Source organism: Homo sapiens, chromosome 2, assembly GCF_000001405.40.
Source record: "Homo sapiens chromosome 2, GRCh38.p14 Primary Assembly".
Lineage (NCBI taxonomy): Eukaryota > Metazoa > Chordata > Mammalia > Primates > Hominidae > Homo > Homo sapiens.
Genome location: NC_000002.12, coordinates 3,707,687 through 3,732,607, shown reverse-complemented (window position 1 = coordinate 3,732,607; position 24,921 = coordinate 3,707,687). Strand labels below are relative to the sequence as shown.

The 24,921-nt window shown below is 46.3% G+C and overlaps 1 protein-coding gene across 12 annotated transcripts in view, besides 3 other annotated features; it reads right to left on the bottom strand.

Annotated features, from left to right (window-relative positions):
• Positions 1-24,921, bottom strand: part of DCDC2C (doublecortin domain containing 2C) — a 144,434-nt gene that overhangs the window by 115,401 nt on the left and 4,112 nt on the right. For 11 of the 12 annotated variants that reach the window (XR_007081579.1, NM_001287444.2, XM_047445725.1 and 8 more), the window contains exons 2-3: positions 24,008-24,059; positions 5,529-5,605 (exon numbers count right to left, since the gene is read on the bottom strand). Coding sequence is in view for 11 of the 12 variants with exons in the window: in NM_001287444.2 (NP_001274373.1) it covers positions 5,529-5,605; positions 24,008-24,059 (129 nt within the window). In the remaining variant the exon portion in view is untranslated. Of the gene's footprint in view, positions 1-4,020; positions 4,588-5,528; positions 5,606-24,007; positions 24,060-24,921 lie in introns of those variants that run through there. The other variant, XM_047445729.1, reaches the window with a different exon arrangement.
• Positions 4,021-4,610: an enhancer, noted in NCBI's record as "H3K27ac-H3K4me1 hESC enhancer chr2:3775588-3776177 (GRCh37/hg19 assembly coordinates)". NCBI's record gives its function as "activates a minimal SCP1, AML or CMV promoter by ChIP-STARR-seq in primed H9 embryonic stem cells {active_cell/tissue: H9 hESC(primed)}" and the evidence as "EXISTENCE:reporter gene assay evidence [ECO:0000049][PMID:30033119]".
• Positions 6,601-7,126: an enhancer, noted in NCBI's record as "H3K27ac-H3K4me1 hESC enhancer chr2:3773072-3773597 (GRCh37/hg19 assembly coordinates)". NCBI's record gives its function as "activates a minimal SCP1, AML or CMV promoter by ChIP-STARR-seq in primed H9 embryonic stem cells {active_cell/tissue: H9 hESC(primed)}" and the evidence as "EXISTENCE:reporter gene assay evidence [ECO:0000049][PMID:30033119]".
• Positions 7,127-7,653: an enhancer, noted in NCBI's record as "H3K27ac-H3K4me1 hESC enhancer chr2:3772545-3773071 (GRCh37/hg19 assembly coordinates)". NCBI's record gives its function as "activates a minimal SCP1, AML or CMV promoter by ChIP-STARR-seq in primed H9 embryonic stem cells {active_cell/tissue: H9 hESC(primed)}" and the evidence as "EXISTENCE:reporter gene assay evidence [ECO:0000049][PMID:30033119]".

Below are 24,921 nucleotides of genomic sequence, written 5' to 3'. Positions count from 1 at the left end.
TTGATCAGCCTTTACACAGTTTGAAAGTATGAGATCTGGTATTTTGGAAATGCCACCATCAGGAAACTAACCTTGAACCCCACACAAGAAAGGCCTTGTGCTGTTTTGTTCATTGCTGTCAAATTACAAGGTGTTCAACCTTTGTCCATGTCTCATGGCTAAATATATATATATTATATCATATATACATAGATATGATTCCGACTGGAAAGCACTCCAACCAGAGATCTCAAACCACAGTTCCATTGACAGCCTCAGGCAGCAGATGACAGCCAGAGGCAGACGACTGTCCCAACAACCGTGGAACAAAGCGGGTGATGCCATGACACAGTTGGCTTCTCTCCGAGATCATGGAACAAGAGCCCATAGATTCTCCTGCCTTTTCATACTCCCTAACAGACTAAATCTTCTCCCACAATTCCTGTATCTTCCTCCCAATTGCATCAACTACTCCTCGGTCCCCCGAACCACATCCAGCCTTCCACTGGGCCCTCCCTGTTTCCCTCCATCTCGATCTGCCTGCGCTTCCCTAGTGCGGTCATCACTCTCTCCTTCTCTTGGCTCACCAAGCAGCAGATGAGACCAAGAGGTGAATTCCTGGGTTTGCACTCACCGCCCCCTACCGTACTCAGTCCTGAAACTGAGACCCCCTTCATAATGGCCTCATCATACTCATACATATGGTCCTGACAGGAAACATCCCATACACACAACCAGAGCAGTCCCCTTCTGAAGTGGCACCAAACTGTAACTTCAAGGCCCCCAAGACTGGGACTATGACATGGCCTCGTGAGCTCAAGAACACGACAGTTCATGGGAAATCAGTCTAATAGACATAGCCTGTCTGTGGGACACAGGGAATCCTCCATGTCCCTGTAGCAAGACACATTCTGTTCTCATGAAACCGGAGCTCAGTGTAAGGGCCAAACTCCCTTTAGACATCATCTTCCTTCAACACCCCATGATGTCAGCATCACAGGAAATTATTTGGCAAAGAGATCAGGCAAATGGAATTGCTGGTTAAACAGGACTAAAAGGCGCAATCAGTGAGAAGATGATGGTTAATGTTACATTTCTCCCTTTGGGATCTACTCCCGGTTAGCTCTTCAAGCCTCTGTCACAACCAGTACAGGCAATGACCAACCCAATTATGCTCAGAAGGGTCATTATTGTGTGTGTGGTCATAAGACATAGAAAATGCTTCCAGCCAGTGGATGGGCTCCTGTCACGTGGCCAGTGCTGACCTTCAAATGGCTAAATGTGACAAACTTCGCAAAGGAGACTCAGAAACGTGAGTGCTGCCCCAGCTGCTGGTCCTGAGACTTGTGGACCAAGCATTAGTGGATGGGAAGCCGTCTTAAGTGGGTTCTGGAAGGACCTGCTGCCTGGAGCCAGCCTGGTAGGGTGGTCTGTCCCTCCCACTGCACCCTCGCCTATGGTGACGGATACACTATAAGGTTACAAAGGGGATCAGCAAAGCTAGCCCCCCAAGAACTGGAAGATTCTGTCTCCCACTTAGGACAAGCTGCTGCATCATTAGCTCCAGAAGTGTCAGAACTTTGTAAATGACTCCACAAAATGGACTAGCCTCAGACTGCTGACTGGAAACCAGGGAGGTGTTCGTGCACGAGTCAGTCCTCAGTGCCACCTGTTTGTAGACGACACTCGAGAGGAAATTTGTCAAGAGACAGTCACAGCAAAGGCTCACACCCAAGACATAGCTTGTTGGAGGCCAAAAGAGTGAGGGCCGTGATCAACTCAGTATACCACTGGAGGCTATATGAGTAAGCAGCAAACTTTCTCATAAATGCAGAATGTTGGCAAACTGACAAACTGCACACGCCACCCAGAAGGACTGCTGAGGGCAGTCACGACCCAGGCGCAAGTGTTTCTTGTGATTAGGCATAATTGAAGCCTGTTAGTAATAATATGAACCTGTGATCAATTAAGCAGCTGACCAGTCGTTATCTCCTTCTCCCTGCTCATTCTACCCAATAAATAGGAAGGGCTGTGGAAGCTCGGGGGGCGGGGGCTGCCTTTGCTCACTAGAAGCAGGGGGCTCTCTTCTTCCCCTGGTCCTTTCCTTAAAACAGTTCCTTTTGTTTTTTGTTATTATTTCTACATTCATCCCTTTGTTCTGTCGTAATGATGGTCTCAAGCAGTAACAGTAGTAACTGTAGCAGTGGCAATCCGACACAATAGCTAACACAGCTTACAACCTCCAGAAAAGCACTGACTTGCATCTCCCTTTAAATAATTTCCTCCACTTACTGGATGGTTTAGGGAGCTCCTTAAGGGACTCGGTTTCTTTATTTTTTTTTAAGAGATGGGGTCTCATTATGTTGCCCAGGATTATCTCAAACTCCTGGGCTCCAGTGATCCTTCTGCCTCAGTCTCCCAAAGTGCCATGATTACAGGCTTGAGCGACTGTGCCTGGCCTCTGGCTTCTTTGTATCCATCCCGATGGTCACGCTTTCATCTCCTGATGCATACCACCCTCGTGGGAGGGTTGTGCTCCTCGGCTGTCTCTCAGCTCCTCCTGAATGCACAGCAGCTGGAAGCAACGGCTGGACCCTTCTCCTCAAGTCCCCCTTATGACAGGTGGTGGTTGTTCTACAAGGAATAGATCTGCTTGTCTTCATGAACAAGAGGAGGGACTGAGTTTCACAGAACTCTGGCCTATGACAACTCTGTCCCAACTCCTGCGCTGAGATACAACCAAACTCTAGCATGCGTCCAGCAGCATCAAGCCACAGCCATAGGATGACCCTAGCCCCGCCACTAAACACCCACCTGAGAAAACCCAGGGCTGCCAGGAACATTTACTGTTCATCCAGCCAACACCTGAGATAGGCCCCTGACCTCTCCTTCTTAGAGCATTGACAAATATGCAGCTCTTGCCATGCAGACACGTTTCCCACACCTAAGATCCTTCCCTTGAACTGCAAGCATCAGGCAGGACAGGGCCTGTCTCCCAGTCTCTGGCGGAGGACAGAATCCTAACTTCCAGAACTGCCAGCTTGCAGACCAGCTGCCTGGCCACCTTCACTGACCAACTCTTTGTACTTTTCCACTTCTCTGATTCTCCTGAGGCCCCACTTGCTCCCATCTCATTCCCCCTTTAAAACGCCCAAATCACTTCCACACAAATCAGAGTGGAACTCAGCTCCTTCCCCAACTCTCAGTAGTTACTAAATAAAATCTGTTTTTGCCGCTTTCACTAATGTCCAGCTGTGTCTATCTTCGACGTCAGTCTCGCAATGAGGGCCAGGACCAATGGCCCCTTCTTCTCCAGTTCTGCCTGGCACAAACGTGCCTCCTCCCCACAGAGGAGCCCTGGGGTGGGCTCTTCTCTTCCCACTCTCCCTCTGGTCTCAGGCTCCCTGTAAAGGGCAGGGAGTCCCCAAGTAAAACCACTCCAGGGCCCAGACAACTTTTGCCAGCTCACTTCTAAATAAACGACAAAAGATCTTTTAAACGCTTTTTCTCCCAAGGCTCATTCACTGACTCAGGGTGTTTTCCACGCCAGTATAAGTGGAATGAGTGAGTGAATCCCTTCCTAAGTGACAAGGGACATCAGAGAGAACACTGGGCAAGAGAAGTGACCTCAGGCCACACGGCTCAATCAGTGCCAGAACCAGGGCTTCAATCTGAGCCTCAACCTCCAAATCAGTGACTTCCAACCCATGCACTCACCACCAGCTCAATCCCCCGGTGACCCCATCAGGGGAGCCCCGGGCTCTCTCTCCAGCATCTGGCTGCTGCAGAACACAGCTCAACAAGCCATTCACTCCCTCGCCAACTCTCCTCTTCACCAGAAAGGGTCACACCCCGCCTTTCTCTCCTGAGCATCTAAGCCTCTGAAAGCCGTCATAACTACTGTTTATGTGTTTTTATAGCGACAAGGACTCCGAGGAACACGATCAGGTTTATTTGTGGTAGGAAGGACTCTGCACTCACATGGATATTTGGGTCCATCTAGTGGAAATTCCAACACACCAAGACAAAGGATGGGCAAATGCTGCAAGACTGTGTTGGTTTCTCATTGAAAAAAATAATCATGTCTGTCCAGTGAGTGAGGATCATTGATGGCCTGGGTCACGCACATAAAATGTGGCTTTAAGGATGGCGTTTTTGTCAAGAAGGACCCACAAACCAACGACGTTCCCTGAGGTTGCTGTATGTTCTGCGGGAAAGACATCACTAACAAAATTCAGAAATACTGTGTCTTATTATTTCAAAACAGCTCTTAGGTACATGAAAAGTGGTGTGGAAAGATCTGTGTATTTAGGTGGCCCCCTTGTGGAAGCTTAAAGTATTTTAAAGAAATGGTCACAGATTTTCAGGAAAAGCGCAAGGGGCCAAGTTTGGCGAATTCTCGGCCACATTTCCTTCCTCTTTCTCGTTCCCAGCCTGAGGATCTGTCGGGTGAATCAGGCAGTTTCCAGCCTCATGAGCCTCCAAGCCCTTGCCTCTCGGGACTGCGAGGGGACGTGGTAGAGGTGACTCTGGCTCACACAAGGCTGGGACCCCCACATGAAGAGCTCAGCATTCTCTGGAAACTCGCTAAAATTCCTTCCATTTAGACTAGAACATGGTAAAATGGAAAGATATCCATGTCAGGGCTTTTAATCACTAAAATGCTAGAACATCCCAATAAAAGGACAGGGGGAAGAGCTGCCATTCAGAGAACTGCTACGCTGTGACAAGCCCTGGGGGGCTGGCTGCAAACATTCCTGAAGCTAACCCTCACCACAGTGTGCTGCATATTCTCAGCCCTGTTTTCCACAATGGGAGACATCCTCAGCCTCAGAGCGAAGCAGCAGGCACAGGTCCCAAGCTGATAAGACGAAAAGCCGGGATGTAAACCAACGTTTCGTTCAAGTCAAGTGTGTGTCTTTTCCCAACCCCAAAAACATAATGCAGGTGGATGCACACAGTGCTCACAACTATCCCCAGTGCCTCCCACTGAGCACCTCGGTGCCTGGCACTGCCAGCGGCATCCCAGGGCAGCGGCCAGTGAGGCTCTAATGCACTCCGTTCCTGTAGCAACACCTGACTTGGATGTGCTGTAGCCCATGAGGGCCTTTTGGTAGCAAGAGGTCAAGGGGCGGGGGAAACAGCTTTTAAATTTCCCTTCAACATGCTGCAGCTGCAACTGCTACATTAAAAAAAAAATCAAAACAAAGCTTCAGAGCCTAAAACTAAGCTGTGTGTATGATGCTCTTATCTTCATATCCCCAGGTGAACTGTTCTGCAAACAACGGCATGGTGATTGGATTGCTTTTCTTTTCCAAAATCAGGGTTCAAGAGGAGAAAGAAAAGGTAGCACATGAACAGCTGAATCAGAGAGAAGGTGGTCTAGGAAAAAGAAATCACCTGTCAGGAAGTGAGAGCACAAGAGAGCAGGGGGAGGGGAGGGGAGGAGGGACAGAAAGGGGGCTGAGGGGCATTTGTCAGGATAGAAAGTATTGTTTTTAGGGAGTTATGGCACAGTTTGATTTTTTCACCCATAATATTATACTCACTTTATATGTCGAGATATACGATGATATGTTTGCCACTTGGAAGGCACATTTATATCACAATGCACCACTGGTTTGATCTGAAAAAGGAAAAAACACACCTGGGAATTCAGTTCAAATTAGCCAACACTCATCAAACTCAACAGTGTGCACAGCACTGCCCTAAAACATAAGAAAGGGGGGGAACCCCTTTGTCAATAGAACACCCAGGGGCGGGTCCAGGAAGGATGCAGAGAGAGGCAGACCAGGTGCTGGGGGAGGAGAAGATGCCAGCAAGTGCAGCGCGAGGGGGTCTGGGGCTGAGGGCTCTGCGCTGCACATGGAGGGAAGTGCAGGGTGCGGGGGCTGGGCTGACGGGCAAAGGTGGCACCAAAGGTTGTGTGTCCATGCTAGGGAGGCTCCCCATGGTCCCCAAGAAGCATGCGTCAATGGCCTACTATGCCGAGGAGCTTTGCTGGCCAAGTTATGGGGCCCCAAGAATGGACATGTCACTTCTGATTTCATTACAAGACTCCAACCAGAATGTCCTGGCCAGGAGGCGGGAGCCCCTCCGCCTTCTCTCCTGTTTGCTGTGAATGCAGCCTGAGAGGCCGGGCCAACCACTATGGCCTGGTGACAGCTTCAGTCTCAGGTCCACTGCAGATAAGACACAAAGGGGGAAAAGAACTACTGAGACCTGTCCCAGGTAAGCAAAGCCTGTCATCCTCACGGCCCTACTGTTTAAGAATGTGCAGAAAAGCAAATGGGGGGAGCTCTGATTGGGAAGGGATGTTAACCCCCAACCCTGTGCTGAGTGACAGGGTCCTGGTCCCACCCACAAGGCTGAGGCTCACCGAGGACATCCCAGCACCTCAGGCCTGGCCTTCCTCTGAAGAGCTGCTCCCCTGTCCACGTTCCATCTCTATATCCCCAGCCCACCAGGATAAGAAGCTTGGGGTCCCTTCACACCTCCCACCCCTGGTTTCCCCTGGATTGGGACCCTGTCTGCCACTGCACACACCTCCACTACAGTCCCACTACCTGGTTCACACACCCCCACCCCCCACATCTCTCACTTGGACGATGGTGACATCCACTCAAGGGATCCTCGCCAGGGTCCCGCTCTGTCACCTCCCACGGACACCATCGTCTTCCCGACAACACCACTGGGTGCAGTCTCCCTCCCGGATCCACCCAGCAGCCTCGTCACTCTCTGCTTGTCTCCCTCCAGGATCCACCTGGCAGCCTCATCTCTCTCTGCTCATCTCCCTCTGGGATCCACCGAGCAGCCTTATCACTCTCTACTCATCTCCCTCCGGGATCCACCTGGCCACCCTCATCACTCTCTGGCAGTCTCTCTCCGGGATCCACCTGGCCAGCCTCGTCACTCTTTGCTCATCTCCCTCTGGGATCCACCTGGCAGCCTCCTCACTCTCTGCTCATCTCCCTCCGGGATCCACCTGGCCATCCTCGTCACTCTGGCGGTCTCCCTCCAGGATCCACCTGGCAGCCTCCTCCCTCTCTGCTCGTCTTCCTCTGGGATCCACCGGGCAGCCTCCTCCCTCTCTGCTCGTCTTCCTCTGGGATCCACCGGGCAGCCTCCTCCCTCTCTGCTCGTCTTCCTCTGGGATCCACCGGGCAGCCTCCTCCCTCTCTGCTCGTCTTCCTCTGGGATCCACCTGGCAGCCTCCTCACTCTCTGCCCCTACACCCTCCATGTTATGCTCCTTCAGCCACCCTGGTCCCCAGCCAGTCCATGTGCTTCCCGGGGCCTCTGCTGCACAACGAGGGTCTCTGCTCGAGCCCCCACAGCCTCTCCACCTCCAGGGCACATGTACACTGCCCTTCCAAGGCCCAGCGCTGGGAAGCCACCCCTAAGCTGACATCAGAATCGATCATCGCCCCCGCCGGCACTAAGCCAAATTCATTTGGTGTCCTTCCTACTGCCTACTTCACACCCACCCAGGAAACTCCCAGCATAGACACCATGGTGCGGGCCCTACCTGCACCCCATCCCCCAGAAGGTCGGGGGCCTGAACCTGTCAATAGGGCCTCCTTCCACACCTAACGCTGCTAATCCACACCCTCCCCTCCAAGCTGCAGCCCCCTCTCCCTTCCCAACCCAGACCCAACTTAGCACAGAAGAGGTTCCAGCAGCTCAGCATCTGAGTCCACTGCCAACAAGGAGTTCAGGTGGGGCAAACGTGTCCCTCCCTCACTTCCCAGCTCTGCCCTGGGACTCAGCTCTTGAACCTCACCTCTGCCAGGGGTCTGCTGCCTACCCACTTGCCCACACCAATGTCAGGCCAACAACTGGGGAGCTCTGCTCCCCAAGTCAGACACAGTGGTAGTAACTCTTCATGCCTGGCCCAGCAGGGAGGGTCCTCCTGGGGCCCTGCTTCTCGACACCCAGACCCCAGCCAGGTTTCACAACACACACAAAACCACGAGACAAACCACTTAACCTATTAATGTTACAGGAGCTCGACGACATCACCCCACGTTGAGTAAATGTCATCTACGAAAGTGCCATGGCCAAGGACAGCACCCAAGCCATGCACCCCAGATGCACAGTGAGAGAGAAGGAGCTGCATACCTCATTAACAGAACTGTGTTTTAAAAGAGGAGAGGGGACAGGAGTTACTCTGGGTCTTCTGTCCCTGAAGGAGACCAGGGAGGTGTGTCTCATGGGGGCTTTGGAAGAAGGGTGAGAGGAACCAAGACAGCCACAGTCACTGCAGAGAGGCCACTCTGGCACCTCCCTGGGATCCTACAATGCCTTTCGTCAGAATAGAGAGCTGCACGAGAGGCAGCGAGAACACAGTGAATCTCAGAAGCAGCCTGGCAGACGGGAAGACCCCAGGCTTTGGAATTGGTCAAATCTGAATTCAAATCCCAGCTCTACGTCTTACCGTCCATGTGGTCTGGAGAAGCAGCTACACTTCTCTGAGCAGCAGCTGATTAATTTTTAGAATGGATCTCATCGTGCGTTACAGAGTTCTTATGAGAATAATATTGAGATAACAATGAGAACATTTCATAAAAGGCACAATGCAATACCTATAACACAGTAATAAATATTCAATTCAATAAATGAGAGTGCCACACACACACAAACACACAGAAACACACAGAAACACACAGAGAGACAGAGAAGGGGGAAGGGGGGCTGTTCAGGTACCTCTATCTTGTTATGGCTCAAATAGAATTGCTGATTTTATCCATAGCCAGTGGATCAACCCAGGCTTCCCCATCTCAGAAAATGGTGCCACCCCGGCCCCATTTGTTCAACTACAAAATCTGGGAGGCGTTCTTGAGTCTTCTCATCCTTTATGCCATCTGCGCATCCGTCAGCTCCACTTCAAAGCCACACCACGGACCCTTCACTCCTCACTGCCTCCACCATCTCTCCCCTGCCCCGAGACAATCCTTCCCTCATGGCAAGCAAAGTAGCCTTTGTAAACACAAGTCAGAAGGCAGTGTGATGTCCCTCAGTAAGGCCTGCCCTTACTCTACCTACCCCTCACACTGAGCCTCGGGCCATGCAAGCTGGCACTGGCTGCCTCTCTGCCATGTCTCTGCACCCCTCCCAGCCTCCCTGCTCTCTGGCCATGCTTGCATTCTTGCAGTTCCTGAAACATCAGCCCATTCCTACACAGGACCTGAGCCTGGAACATACTCACGGATCTTTGTCTGGTTTGCCCCTCTTACTTTAAGAAGTCACTTCGACGTCAGCTCCTCACAGAAGCCCTCCCTGCCCAGTCACACACCTGCAGTTACTTTCATCCAAGCACTTCATCCTGCCTCTGCTTTCTTGTTTGTGTATTTGCTTCCATCGTCCTTTGTAGAATGGAAGCTTCTGAGAGCAGGGACCCTGGTTGTCGTGTTCAACCAAGTACCTTCAGTGCCTGAACGATGAGTGACCCCTAACAGGAATTCAATAACTATTTCATGAAGACAAACGAATAATGGATGAGTGAATGCTACCATGACTAGGGAAAAACAGCTCTGATGCTCTGAAAAGGATTCCAGGAAAAGAGAGGCCATGGAAGAAGGTGGAAATGCACACCTGCATCCATTCTACCCTATTATCATACTATATATAAAATTATATACACCTGCATACTCATGGTAACAAAACTAATGCCATGGGTACCAACAATGAACATGAATTTACAGACCTAGTTTGAAAACAAAACAACGGAAATTATCCTCTGCAAAATTCTATTAAAATACAGCCACCCTAAGTACCAGCTTTCTGCTTCATTGCATAAAATTATGGAAACAATGAGCTAATTGCTCTTTTGAGGTGTTAATGATTCATTAACCCTGCTATCACCTGCCTAATTAAATAACTCCAGCAATCAAATAATGTGATTCTGGATTTTTTTCTCTGTACTTCATAAAATAATCTCCTGAACAATGTCAAGCTTATGTATCTGATGGTGATGACAGCCTCATTCACACTTGTCAGAGCCAAAGACTCACATCAGTCATCTGTCCTGAGAGGCTGAAGGACGCCATGAGCTTTAGACCTCTTCAACCAAGGCAATTCAACCAAATCTAAATCAAAGACGGAAGACTCAAGATGACCACAGGTGTATCTCCCCCAAGGAGCAACTACAGGTTATTGAATACCCACCATGGATCAAGCATTGCAGTAGACTCTTTACCTGCATTCATACCTAACCCTCAACATAACCAGGCAAAATATCTAGGTAACAAAGAATCAGAGAGGTTATATCATCTTCCCAACAACATACAGCTATTAAGTGTCCTGGCCATGATAAGCCATCAAAAAACATTTTATTTTACTTTTTAGCAAAATGAGTCCTGAAATCCATACCCATGTAGCTTAGTACTCAGGAGCCTGTGCTTTGGATCATCCAGGATCCCAGTACTGGCTCTGCCACTTACTAGCTGTGTGGCCTTGATCAAGTTGTATAACCTCCCTGAGCCTCAGCTGCCTCCTGCATGCAATGCTAATAGCAGTAGTGCACACCTCATAAAGTTGTTGCCTCCAAAGTGAGTAACACGAAATGAGATAACACATTGTCAAGTGCTTAGCAAATGACTGTAATGAGGATTCAGTTGATAACAGTGTATTAGTTTGTTTTCACGCTGCTGATAAAGACATACCAGAGACTGGGCAATTTACAAAAGAAAGAGGTTTAATTGGACTTATAGTTCCCTATGGCTGGGGAGGCCTCACAATCATGGAGGAAGGCAAAAGAGGAGCAAGTCACATCTTACATAGATGGCGACAGGCAAAGAGAGCTTGTGCAGGGCAACTCCCATTTTTTTAAAACCATCAGATCTCATGAACTCATTCACTATCACGAGAACAGCACAGGAAAGACCTGCCCCCATAATTCAATCCCTCCCACTTGGTTCCTCTCATGACACATAGGAATTTTAAGAGTTACAATTCAATTGTGGGAGTTCTTCCCACGGCACATGGGAACCGTAGAAGTTACAAGATAAGATTTGGGTGGGGACATAGCAAAACCATATCAAACAGCAATTATTGTGGCTTTGTTGTTTTGTCTTGGGCTCCAAAGTCTCTGTTCTCTCCACCTCTCCAATGCTGCTCCAACTACCCTCCATGAACATACCCTCCATGGCCCCTTCCACACAAAATATCCAACTAAAAGCCTGCGAGAATCTAGCATCAGGAAAGGACTTCACTACAGGAGGATCTCATATGAAGCAAATTGTTTTGATCAACTCTCATATATTCAGCACCATGCAGGATGAATTCACAGAAAAGGCTCTGCTGAACAACCCTGCAGCAGGTGCTGCAGGGTTCCCCAAAGAGACACATGCCTCCCTACACAATAGGAAGAATAAAAACTAGAACAGATGCAATGAAATAGAAAACAGGGAAAAAAATAGAGAAAAACAATGAGCCAAAAGCTGGCTCTTTGAGAAGTTCAATAAAATTAATAAACCTGTAGAGGGACATATAGGAAAAATAGAAGACACAAATAATATCAGGAATGAGAGAGGCAACATCACTTGAGTCTACAGATATTAATAGAATAAGAGAATGTTATAAACAACTTCATGCCAACAGATTCAACAACTTAAACGAAATGAACGAATCAAAAGACAAAAACTAGCAAAGTTTACTCAAGAAGAAATAACCTGAAGAGCCCTATATTTACTGAAGAGTTGAATTTGTAGTTCAAACTCTTCACACAAAGACAACGCTAGGCCCAGATAGCTCCACTGGTAAATTCTATCAAACATTTAAGGAAGAAACAATACCAATTCTAGACAAGATCTTCCAAATACCTTTCCACCAAGACAACAATTCAACAAGTATAAAAAGGATACTCTATGATCAAGTGGGGTTTGCCCCAGGAATGCAAGGTTGGCTCCATATTTGAAAATCAATTCATGTAATTCATAATATTAACAAACTAAAAATGGGAAATCATCTGATCATCTCAGCAGACATAGAGAATGTCCTGCCCAGTCCAATTTAAATCCTAATCCTACATCCCATTGAGAGTTTCTCCCCTTAGCTCAAGCCTGACCCAGCTGCATGTGGGAAGGGTACATGGTTATTTCATTGTTTCACAGTATTTTACTCTGCCTTCGACCTCCTCCTCATCTTGGCATCAGAACAAAAGAGTGTCTAATACAACTGGAGCTACTGTCATCTGACCTCCTATGTCCTCTTCCTCGGCAGGTGTCCAAATGTGGCTCTTTAGGGAGGCAGGGAGAGTGCAGGCTTTAGTGAGTTCCTCTGAAAACCTCACAGAGACTCCATGCTGGACTGTTCCTGATGCAGAATGTTTCTGATACTTTCCGCAGCTGACTCTTGCTTCAAACCACAACGTTTTGCTACGTCCTCACAGACCCTTACCATGGCTGGCAACGATTCTTAAACAACTCAAGTCTGGCCACCTTCTAAGGCATCCATTTGCCTCCCAAGGAAAGACACACACCTTTGCCACACCAGCTCCCCAGAGGGGACAAGTGCAGTTTCCACAGCTGCTGCCTCCCCATGCTGTCTTCACAGGCAACACAGAGCCCACCATCCTTCAGGTGCTTTGAGGATGATGGAAGCAGGTGCCACCTGCACACTCACCTGCAAACCCAAACCCCTGGCACACGGGCTGGGTCGTCCCAAGCACACCCTCACCCTCTCAAGAGGTGCTTTACCCTGCAGCATCCGACCTGGTCCCTCCTCCAGCATCCCAGAGCTCTGAGCTATTCTCTGGAGCCTCGCCTCTGATTTGAAGGAGCATGAGGCACCCACAGGGAGGAGAGAGAAAATGCCACAGCATCCACTACTGTCTATAGTTTCTTCATTCAATAAACTTACTTACAGTCCTTATATAAGGTTTAAGGGTGATGTCGGAGGCTGGTTTGGTACCTGAAGCCTCTCTCATGTTTTTACACCTGACACTTTAGAACACGGGGAGTGTCCACCAACATTCCAAGACATCAGGCAAAGCCCCGTCGAACCCCCTGTGGGATGGGCTCCAGAGGCAGGGGGATGCCTGACATGGCTGCCCCATCCCCATTATCATGGCCTCCAACCCACGTCAACTCTAATCTTCACGGTGACCCTTCAGCATACTAGAAAAGGCAGGAAAGAGAAAGAAAGCAGCTCCAGCTCGGAATGAGGAAGCAGAATTACACCCAATGTGGACAGCCAGAGGCTTGGGAGGCAGCGGGAAAGAGCCCCTGGAAAATGAAAACAGCTGGCTGGGCACGGTGGCTCACACCTGTAATCCCAGCACTTTGGGAGGCCAAGGCGGGCAGATCATGAGGTCAGAAGATTGAGACCATCCTAGCTAACATGGTGAAACACCATCTCTATTAAAAATACAAAAAAATTAGCTGGCATGGTGGCGGGCACCTGTAGTCCCAGCTACTCGGGAGGCTGAGGCAGGAGAACAGCATGAACCCGGGAGCCAGAGCTTGCAGTGAGCCAAGATCGCACCACTGGACTCCAGCCTGGGCGACAGAGCGAGACTCCATCCCAAAAAAAAAAAAGGAAACAGCTGCACCAAGCCTGCAGGATTTTGTAAGGCACTGAGATAGTGAGAGGTGAAGCCAGCTGGACTTCCTGGGTCGAGTGGGGACTTGGAGAACTTTCCTGTCTTACAAGAGGGTTGTAAAATGCACCAATCAGCGCTCTGTAGCTAGCAAGAGGATTGTAAAACACACTAATCAGCGCTCTGTAGCTAGCAAGAGGCTTGTAAAATGCACCAGTCAGCAATCTGTAGCTAGCAAGAGGATTATAAAACTCTTTGGGTCCGTGCCACCTTTAAGTAACACTCACTGCAAAGGTCCGTGGCTTCATTTTTGAAGTCAGCGAGACGACAAACCCACCGGCAGGAACCAACTCCAGACACAATAGGAAAAGCCTCCACCCAGCACAGAGCTTGTTTCAGAGTGTATGCTCAGTGAGGGTCTGCTCATTTCCAGTGTTAACTGCATGGCGATGAAAACAGACCCCCATCTTTTGTATGCTGCCCCCTAGTCCACAAGGCCCTGGACTTTCTCAGAGAGCATCAGCCAGGCATGTCCCAGAGCTGAACACAGGTGAGGTTCACTCCTTGGGACCAACCTGGGGTCTGGCCACGTGAATCTCATTGATAGAAACAGCCACACACTTGATTTATGTATCATGCACCCACAGAGGCACTCCCTGCTAAAAAATATAAGGAGAACTGATGCTCTCCATGCCTCCAAAATTGCTGACTCTAAGAGCCAGAGAAGCCGTCCCATAGAATCAGACAGCCAGACGGTTTGTGGAGCCTGTGGTTGGCCTGGTCAGCCCCACTCAGAAGCAAGACCTCATCTAGGCCAATCCACAGAAGAACCAAGGAGAGGAGAATACCTGCCCCTAAGATCCTGCCAGCCACCAGCCTTCCCGTAAGTACTCAATCACTGCTTCATTCATTTATTCAAGACCTATTCATAGAGGACCCACCTCTGATGGTAGGAACTGTGCTGAGTTAGAATGCAGTGGTGGAAAAGACCAACACCACTCCTGGCCTCAGAGGGCTGGGAGCACAGAGGGACACAGACAAGTCAACAAGCAATTACAGTGCCAGGTGCCAGGGGCTCTGCTGAGGCCAGCATGGGTGCCATGGAAGCATGGGAGAGGAACATCTGACCCTCACTAGGGAGAAAGGAGGCCTCCTGGAGGAAGAGGCCGTTAGATTGAGACCTAAATTATAAGCAGAAAACAGTCAGTTGAGTTAAACAAGGCAGAAGGAACAGCATGCACAAAACCCTGGCTTGAGGATAGGCGCATGAAGAGGCCTTTGGGAAACTGAAAATCCATCAAGGACTGGATCCTAGACACAGAGGGAGGAGCGGTGAGAGGCAAGACTGGAGAAGAACACAGGGGCCAGATCAAGAAGGGCCTTAAACGTCATGGTAACTAGTGCAGACTTCACCTCCCTGGAGCCAAGAGGAGTGACTTAATGTATGTGAACAAGGGAAGTGACGTGATCACATGGGAAAGGGACAAGGTTGGAAGCAAGGAGACCAGCGGAAGGCATGGGACTCCTTCCAGGTGACCAAACTTGGCAGCCTCAACAAGGCTAGGAGCAGCCAACATGACAGCAGGTGAGCTGACTCCAGAGACGATCAGGAGGTGGGATGGGTGGGCAGGGAGGGACTGGGGGCGTTTCTGGGAGAGTGAAGGGTTGAGAAAAATGCTCACGTTTCTGGGTTTAGGAGCTGGGTGGGCAGTTCCATCTTCTGGAATAGGAAACACAAAATAACAATTGGGTTTGGAGTCAGAGGCCAATGAGTTCAAACTTGGACATGCTGAGTTTGAGATGTCTTTGGGACATCCAAGTGACAGAGTCCTAGAGATGTGGGTCCTGACTTTGAGAGAGACCTGGGGGTCTTTGGCACATGGATGATTATGGAAATAATGGAGAGAATGGAGTGGGGGTGGCCTGAACTAGAAGAGAAAATGAATTGGAGAGCACCCTACAAAACAGCAGTGTTCAAAAGACAGGCAATGACAACAGTCCCACAAATAAAAGAAAAAACAGTCATAGAAAATGAGAAGAGAAGAGCTTCAGAAGAGAAGGAAAGAAACAATTTTCTTTCCTGAGAAAGAGGACCACCTCACCCCTATCAGCAGGGCTATGACCAACAAGGCCCAAATGTTCACCACCTGATGGATGGGTAAACAAAATATGGTGGATCCATACAATAGAATGGAATTCAGCCTTAGAAAGGAACGAATCCCTGATACACACTACAACATGGATGAACCTTGAAAATATGCTAAGAGAAACCACATGCAAAAGGCCACACGTTGTCTGAGTCTATTTACATAAAATGTCCAGAATAGGCAGGTCCTATAGAGACAGCAATTATTATTCTTCATAATATCTTCCTCACCCACCCAAGGCCATTTCTCAAGTAATTCTCCCTATTTTGTCCTACATCATCAATTTTCCCTCTGCAATGGCTACTCCCATCATCACGTACATGATGTCACTTCTTAGAAAAACTCTCTTCGCTCTGTTTCCCCCTCCAGTTACCTCTACATTTCTCTCCTTCCTTTAGAGCAAAACTCATTTAAAGAGCAGTTTGTATCTCCCATCTCTCTTCTATTCTTTTCTGCCCACGACCTCCATATTACTAAATCCAATGGTCCCATCTCAGTCTTCATCTTCCTTTTCTGGTCAGCATCTCAGTCTTCATCTCCCTTGTCTGGTCAGCATCTCAGTCTTCATCTTCCTTGTCTGGTCAGCAGCGTTTGACACAGATGGCCCACCCTGTCTCTCATCACCCAGCATCCTGCACTCACCTGGACTTTCTCCAGCCCTCTCTGCTCCTTCTCACCTCCCTGCCCTCTAAGCATTCCAGGACCCTGTCATCGGAACTCCCTTTGTTCTGCCCACACTGACTCCCAGCGTGAATTCATAATCACCAACGCCACCACAATGATCTAAATCCCCACTGTCCCTTGCCTGGATCATTGCAGCAGCCTCCTAACTCATGGCTATCAACATGGCACCCAAACACTCTTGCTCAAGGTCCATGTCACTCCCTGAACAACAGGCCAGTGTCCTTTGCACCGTCGGTTCTCCCTCTCAGGATGCTTTTGCCCAAGATATCTAAATAGGCAGCTCCCTCACTTCTTTGAGTCTGGACTCAAAAGTCACCTCCTCAGTGAAGACCACCTGGTCATCCTAAAATCAAACAGCCCCCAGCATGACATTTCATATCCCCCACATACTCTATATTGTATAGATTTTGTTTATTATCTGTCTCACCACCTGAAATGCAGGCTCCCTGAGGGCAGAGATGTTTTTCCTTTTTGTACAACTGCTTCAAATAGTACCTGGTACATAACCAGTGCTCAAGAAGTATTTAGTGAAAAAACCGTTGGGCTTAGTACACATACACATATTATTTGGTTTTGTGTTGCTGCTGTGGCATAATCAGCCACAGGAAAGCAAACACTTCCAAATACACAAGCATTCAGATTAAATTGGATGAATGGATGGATGGATGGATGGATGGATGGAAAGTTTAGGATGTTGTGATGAGCAGAATACATGCATAATTACATTTAACCCCTATTTCTTAGATACAGCCATACCCATTAACTGAGCATCAGAGAAGTTAATTTGTCCGAATTACAGAGCCCATGATATTTCCACAAAGCTATGGCACCAGCATGGCAATGTGTTGGGAAAATTAAGGATAACACACAGTGTTTGGGAGGTGTGGGAAACATCCAGTCTCACAATGGGCACAGATTTAACTTGGTATAATCTCTCAGGAGAGCAGTTTAGTAGGACATATAAAAAGGTTCTCTAAATCTCAAGCAAAAGAAGGCTGGTTTTAAAAACATATGTTATACATCTCTTAATGCAACATTCTAAATCCACTAAAAAGTATTACAGGAATATATTGCTTGACATGTAGAGATTTCATGATACATCATTAAATAGAAAGGAGTTTTGAAAAAAATGTAGATTATGCTCCCATTTTGTTTAAATAAATACATTTATAAAGCTAGGAGTATATACATGTATGTAGGTATATGTGTACATGTCAAAAGCATATGGAAAAACAGTGGTTAATCTCTGAATGATAGGATTATGAATATGTTTTTCTTTTAAATTACATATATTTTCTCATTTTTCTACAATGAGCATGAATTATAGGGTACTTTTTTAAAAATGGAAGCAGAAGCTTCCAAATGTGTTCCTGACAGGTCAACAGCAAACGGCAAACAGTGGTCTCGCCATTGGCAAGATCACTAAGAAGTATAGTGGAAGTGAGTATTGGTTCAGCCAGCCCAAAGTACTGCAGCCTAAGCTTGAGTCACCTGGACAAAGTTAAATTTTATTCTCCAGGCTTTTCAGTAAGGCAGGAAATCATGTAAAACACTTTGTTAAAATGTATATTAAGAAATTAATTTTAAAACATCCTTTGAGTTAGATTCATTGGTAGGCTTCAGTGATCTAAAAAATTCAACTCAGCAAATCACATCCTTCTCTTCCATGACAAAAATGTGGTCTAAATGAATGGTACACTTGTTGTTTAGTCCAGGATAGGCCCACTGAAAGAGCAGAATTGAAACAGATCCTTCATGGGGGGAAAAAACATTGAATTGGGATTCATCTGTTCCTAGCAAATCTGCCTAAATCTCTACAACTTGAGATTACAAACCAGAAATCTCAATGTTGTACTATAATAGAAGTCCTTCCATTGAATTAAGACCAAGGACACTTTTCTCATTAAACCAACATGGCACAGTCATTGAAAGCCAAGACCCCAAGAGCATTTGTTCCTAATCTAATTGTCCTTGTCCCTCCATTTAATGAAGTGCAACTTCAAATTCATTATATTGAAGTATTTTAAAAATCATTTCTATTACAATATTAAATGTATATTATGGTATTCTAATTAATTTTAAGTAAATTTCTACATAAATCAAAATCTCTTGGGAAGCTTCTTCAATTTTCCCATTAATATATTTTGATCAAAACAGAAATTCTGTGAAAGAATAATTTACAGAAGCTAGGTCTTTCTGCTCTGTATTACTGTATCATAAACTAAGGCTAAATGACTTAGTAAAACATTTAGACATTGAATTTTTGGACTTGGCAAAAGCTTATGCCACATTTAATTTGTAAAACAGTTTACACTGGTATTCAAATTGTAGGCAATCATGGATCTCAAATTTGGATAGGATCAGCTACAATTTAAAGGCATTATGAATAATAATAGCACTAACTACTTATTGAGCTCTTGCTGTATGTCAAAAGCACAGGCAAAGTGATTTACAAAGATCATCTCACTTAATCTTGCTCACATTCTGACAGATACCATTTTAGATCAATCCCTACAGATCTAATCCTGGGATGACATAACATGAATCATTTAGCCATTTCTGTACTAGTGGACATTCAGGTTGTCCCCAACATTTCGTAATTTAAAAACAAAATGCTACTGTAAACATCCTTAAACCCCAGTGTGTGATCAGACCAAGGCCTATCAAGCTGGAACCAGTGCAGGAAGGGCTGCACATGGCCTTAACTTCCAACAAGGTCTCCAGGAGCTTTTAGGGCCGAGACATGCAGCTCCCCTGACCCTGGGCACCCGGGATGCAGCTGTTCTCAACTCACCCTAGAAAGAGGTGGAGCAGCAGAGGGGGGAAGGCCCTCATTCTGGTGCTCTTCCTATGGAAGCTCCCCCAGCCCCTCGCATGGATCATGGAGAACCCTGTGCCCCATCCTGCTGGCTCCCCGCGTTTTCCCTGGGAGAGCTGCTTTGCACCTTCACTCAAGACACTGGGAGGTGCCTTCCGCTGCCACTGCACACCAGGGTTCTCCTTCTGTGATGTAAGGGCTTGAACATCTATCAGAAAAAATTCCTACGATGACGTCTTTGAATTAAATGGAAGAAATTCATTTAATACTAGCAAGTTGTACAAAAGCAGTCATGGGTCTTTTCCTGGGAAAAGAGTGGGAGAAATCCTGGAGTCATTCCTAGAATGCTTGATTTTAGTCCAAGCTCTACTGCAAACGAGCCACCCAACAGCAGATGGTGCTTAACCTTTCTTGAACTCTTTATTCATCTTTTAAATGGCATGTATTAAGGCCTGCTCTGCCTCACTCACATGGTTGCTATTTTTCCATTTTTGCAGATGAGACTATAGGTGTGAAAACATGCTGAGAACATAAGCCACACAACATTCCGTGTTAAAAGAGAGGAAACTTCTGGACATTGAACACGATGATGAAGCATTCAAGGACTGACACGACTCTCCAATGCACATTGTGGTGTGCAGGCATCTCAGCCCTGGCTATGTGAATATGGTCACATAGAAAATCGGCAGCATGGGGGCCTCACAAAGAAACCCATGAAGTCCTGGCACTTGGCATCTCACCAAAGCATTTCTATTTCTGGAACATAATAAGCAAGGAAAACAAGCAAAGACAAGTCTTTTTTGTTGAGACAGGATTTCACTCTGTTGCTCAGGCTGGAGTGCAGTTGTGCAATCATAGCTCACTGCATCCTCAAACACCTGGGCTCAAGTGATCCTCCCGCCTCAGCTTCCCACGTGCCACCATGCCTGGATAATTTTTTTTTTTTTTTTTTGTAGAGATAGGGTCTTGCTGGTCTAGAATTCCTGGGCTCAAGTAATTCTCCCACCTTGGCCTCCCAAAGTGCTGGGATTACAGGTGTGAGCCATGGCACCTGGCCAACAAGTCTTTTAGTTCGTTAGGTATTATACTGTCTCTGGGATCATAGGTGCATCCCCATAAGCCACAAGGCAGGCAAACTGTGGTTTAGTAAGTAGTAGTGATGCCACTGGGAGTGACGGGCAGCCTTCGGTCCTGTGACTGATTAGCTCTGTGTTCTCGTGTGGGGCAGCAGGACACAGCTCTGAATCTCAGCTACTCTTACGGTCCCCTCCAGGCACAGCAGAGTTCTTGGAGTAAATCATGTGTGTCGGCCAAAGCTCTTGGTGGTGGTTCCAACTCATTCAGGGTTGGCTCCACCATTGACATGTGTCCAGGCAAATGCTTGTCCCACCAAGACAAGCATTTACACAACAAACAATAATAATGGCAAACCCTTTCTAGGGGTGACTACTTCCACAAAAGGAAATGGGGGCAGGATCATGAGCATCAGGCACTTCCAGGCCACGCACGCTGACATGATACTGCTCCATCCCCACGACCCCAGAGGGTGGTGTTGGGCATCTCACACGCTGTCAGAAGCAATGTAAGTTTTCAGAAATATTATGGAATCCAATCCAGAAGTAAATAGTAAAGAGGTTAAAATAATGCGTGTTAATTCTACTTCTCTATAAGCAATCATTAATGTGAACAAACTTGTCTCCACAAAGGGTCCATTACATTACATCACTGTTTAAAATAGCAAAAAGGCAAAGATCTGCTCAAAGAGGATGAGCTACATAATTATGATAAACTCACATGGTGGAATAGTTTTCAGGCATTAAAAATCACATCCTCCTAGAGCAGGCACTAGGTTGCTGGGCACTCACTCTATGAGGCTATAGTTGCCCAAAAGAGTTTAAAAATTTTTATTTTTGCTGAGGATAATGGCTTCCAACTCCATCCATGTCCCTGCAAAGAATATGGTCTTATTCTTTTTTTATGGCTGCATAGTATTCCATGGTGTAAATGTACCACTTTTTTTTTAATCCAGTCTGTCATTGATGGGCATTTAGGTTGGTTCCATGTCTTTTCTATTGTGTATAGTGCTGCAGTGAACATACATGTGCATGTATCTTTATGACAGGATGATTTATATTCCCTTGGGTATATACCCAGTAACGGCATTGCTGGGCCAAATGCTATTTCTGCCTCTAGTGTCTTTGAGCAGTCACCATGCTGTCTTCCACAATGGTTGAACTAATTTACCCTCCCACCAACAGTGTAAAAGTGTTCTCTTTCTCCACAACCTTGCCAGCATCTGTTGTTTTTTGACTTTTTAATAATAGCAGAATGGCTATTTTGAAAAAGTCAAAAAACAGAAGTTGCTGGTGAGACTGTGGAGAAAAGGGAATGCTTATACACTGTTGGTGGGAATGTAATTAGTTCAGCTACTATGCAGGGCCGTTGGAGGTTTCTCAAAGAACTTAGAACTACCATTCAAGAAAGAAAATAATCATTCTACCAAAAAGACACATGCACTCATACATTCATTGCAGCACTATTCGGTATAGCAAAGTCATTGAATCAACCTTGTGCCCATTAGTGGTGGACTGGATAAAGAAAATGTGGTACATATACACCGTGGAATACTATGCAGCCATAAAAAAGAACATGGATGCAGCTGCAGCCATTATCCTAAGTGAATTAACGCAGGAACAGAAAACCAAACACTCCATGTTCTCACCTGTAAGTGGGAACTAAACAGTAGGTACTCATGGGTGTAAAGATGATGACAGTAGTCACTGGATACTACTATTAATAGATGGCGGACGGAGGGAATGGGGCAAGGGTTGAAAAACTAACTATTGGATACTATGCTCACTGCCTGGGTGACCGAATAAATTATACCCCAAACCTCAGCATCTCACAATGTACTCATGCAGGGACATGGATGGAGTTGGAAGCCATTATCCTCAGCAAACTAATGCAGGAACAGAAAACCAAACACCACATGTCCTCGCTTGTAAGTGGGAGCTGAATGATAAGAACACATGGGCACAGGGAGGGGAACAACACACACTGGCGCCTGTCAGAGAGGAGGAATGAGGGGAGGGAGAGTATCAGGAAGAGTAGCTAAAGGATGCTGGGATTAATACCTAGGAGATAGGATGATCTGTGCCACAAACCACCATGGCACATGTTTACCTGTGGAACAAACCTGCACATCCTGCACATGTACTCCTGAACTTAAAAGTTGAAGAAAAAAATATAAAATAATTTTTAAATAGCCATTCTGACTGGTGTGAGATGGTATCTCACCGTAGTTTTGATTTTCTGCACAGTATTTTTGACACCTCTGTCAATGAGAACTACTTTTATAATCACATTTTTGAAATGAACAAAGTGGAAATTCAAAAATAAAAATTTTTTAAACTCTTTTGGGTAACTATAGCCTCATAGAGTGAGTGCCCAGCAACCTAATGCCTGCCCTAGGAGGACAAGGCCAGCGCGGGTGTAGACATCCTGGTGTGCCTGCTCAGTGTTTCACGTCTGTAGACCAAGGCTTCCTCTACTAGAAAACAAGAAGTTTTGACAAGATAGTCTGAAATTTCCTCCCTGTCCTAAAATATTGCCTTTTAAATCATATCTTATTTAAATCACTGAAATATGCAAAGGATGAACCGAGACTCAAACTCTAACAAATATTCTCAAGGGTGATTTCCAAAATTGTTGCTTAATCCTGCTCCCAGCCCCACAGGTAGAGGGGAAACAGGTATAGAGGTGTCAGGATGATCACAAATCATTTCCACACTCTTTATTAAGGTAGCCCTGAAATTCAGTGACTGCCAGAATTGCTTTCTAGTTGGAAACTTGCCCTCTCGTCCTTGGCAAGTTACAATTTAAGGTGAGTAAAGTAATAAATTTGACTTATTTTAACTGCCCTCAAGGGCAGACTCCAAGAAGGCAGCGGAACGCTTCTGGAAGCTGGTGCCTGTGAACAATGCTGGGGCTGCTGGCGTGTCCTGCATGGAGCTCTGGGTGATGCTCCAAAGACACAGAGAAGAGCCGCTTCTGTAAGATGTGGAGGGGAAGCCCTTAACTAGTGCTGGCACATTATACAGATTTTACCATTTAGTCCTTACAACGAGCTTCTGAGGTATCTATTATCATCTCCATTTTACAGGTGAGGAAATTTAAGAACAGCAACATTGCAACTTAGAGAAGTAGATACCCTCAAAATAACTCACCTGTGTAATAATCCACAAAATAAGTCCGTTTTTAAGTCAAAATTATGTTAAATTCTAAATATCAACAGGCTACCTGGCTTAAAACTGTGGTTTTTATTGCTTATAAAAAAGGCATGTCTCTTTAAACAAATTAAATGGTTATTTTTACTAAGAATCAAATGATAAGAACGGTGTGATGGAATGTTCTGTCCTGTAGACCTAATAAATGTCTATCACGTACAAAAATGTTGAGCACTTGGGACAAATCTTTAAATTTAGCATTATAATTAGCTTCAGCATTGCATAACTCTAAATAACTTTTCCTGAGACCTGTCTTTCCAAACCCCCCCAAAACAAAAGGAAAATGAACACTTGAATTAATTGCACGGTGTGCCTCAGAGATGACTATCTCCCTCTGCACATCTTAGCCTCTCTTCACTGCCTTCCGCCACTTGGTTACTTCAGTGCTTTGACAAGTATGACAAGCTTGCACAGTGTGTTCTGGCTTCAAGAGCAACACATCTCTGCAGGCATTTACTGCTTCTGTGAAACTTCAATTATTCCGTGCCGACATTTAAATTTTTACCAAGTTGGCCAATTTATTCCATTATTAGTTGTTAGAAGCAAACACTTACTTCCTTCAACTTCCTTATCTTTGCAGGTTTTCGGGGAACTATATGAATATAACTGCAAAAGAAGAAAGAAGAAAACATCATTAGAAGGAAGATATTTACATAGAAAGTTCCAGACTCCTTAGAAACGAGTCCTTTTCCGGCTTAATAGATACAACCCCACAGCAATTTGGAACTAGGATCTAAAATTTTCTCGGTGTTAGAATCCACATCAGAATACAATAGCAATGCTGCTGTAGGACAGTTTTCACACTGGGTACCACTGGCACTGCCCCTTGAAAGTGTCTCTTAAGTGACATTGCTTTCCCTCACGTAATTTTATTAAAGAGAAACCTGAGAAATCATCTAATTCAACAGCATTCTTTAACCAGGTCGCTGAAGGCCCAGAACTGCGAGCTCATCAATGTTCCCATGACAGGCTAAGGTCGGAACAAAAACCCAGACTCTCCTCCAGCTCCTCTGCACCCCCACCGCTCCCTCCTGCTCACAGAAATTCAGCACTGTTCTCCTTTTGCCAAAACTGCAAACTGGAAAAGAGTCACCAGCATAAAATGTGTCTGAGCCCTACTAACACAATTTTTTTTACTGTTGGGGACTTTTGAGACTTCCATATTCCTCAAAAATAAAATGTTTTCATGGGTAATAAATAATACCTTCAAATTTATATCTGATACTAAGGTTTCTTCCTGATTAAAAAAATATGTATTTGAGATTGTTATTGTTTTTGATAGTTTCAGCAATATTCAGAGAAGGGTCAACTTAGACTGGTAAATAGAAGGGGAAGAAATAACTAAGTGTTCAATAAAGAGTCACGGATGCAGATCCCCACAGAAACTGGTCAAGTAAATGATGGCACTCGCCAAGGGTGGTCTCAGGGACTGGTGGGGGCTGTGGCTGGTGGGACCATCCTTTCCCTT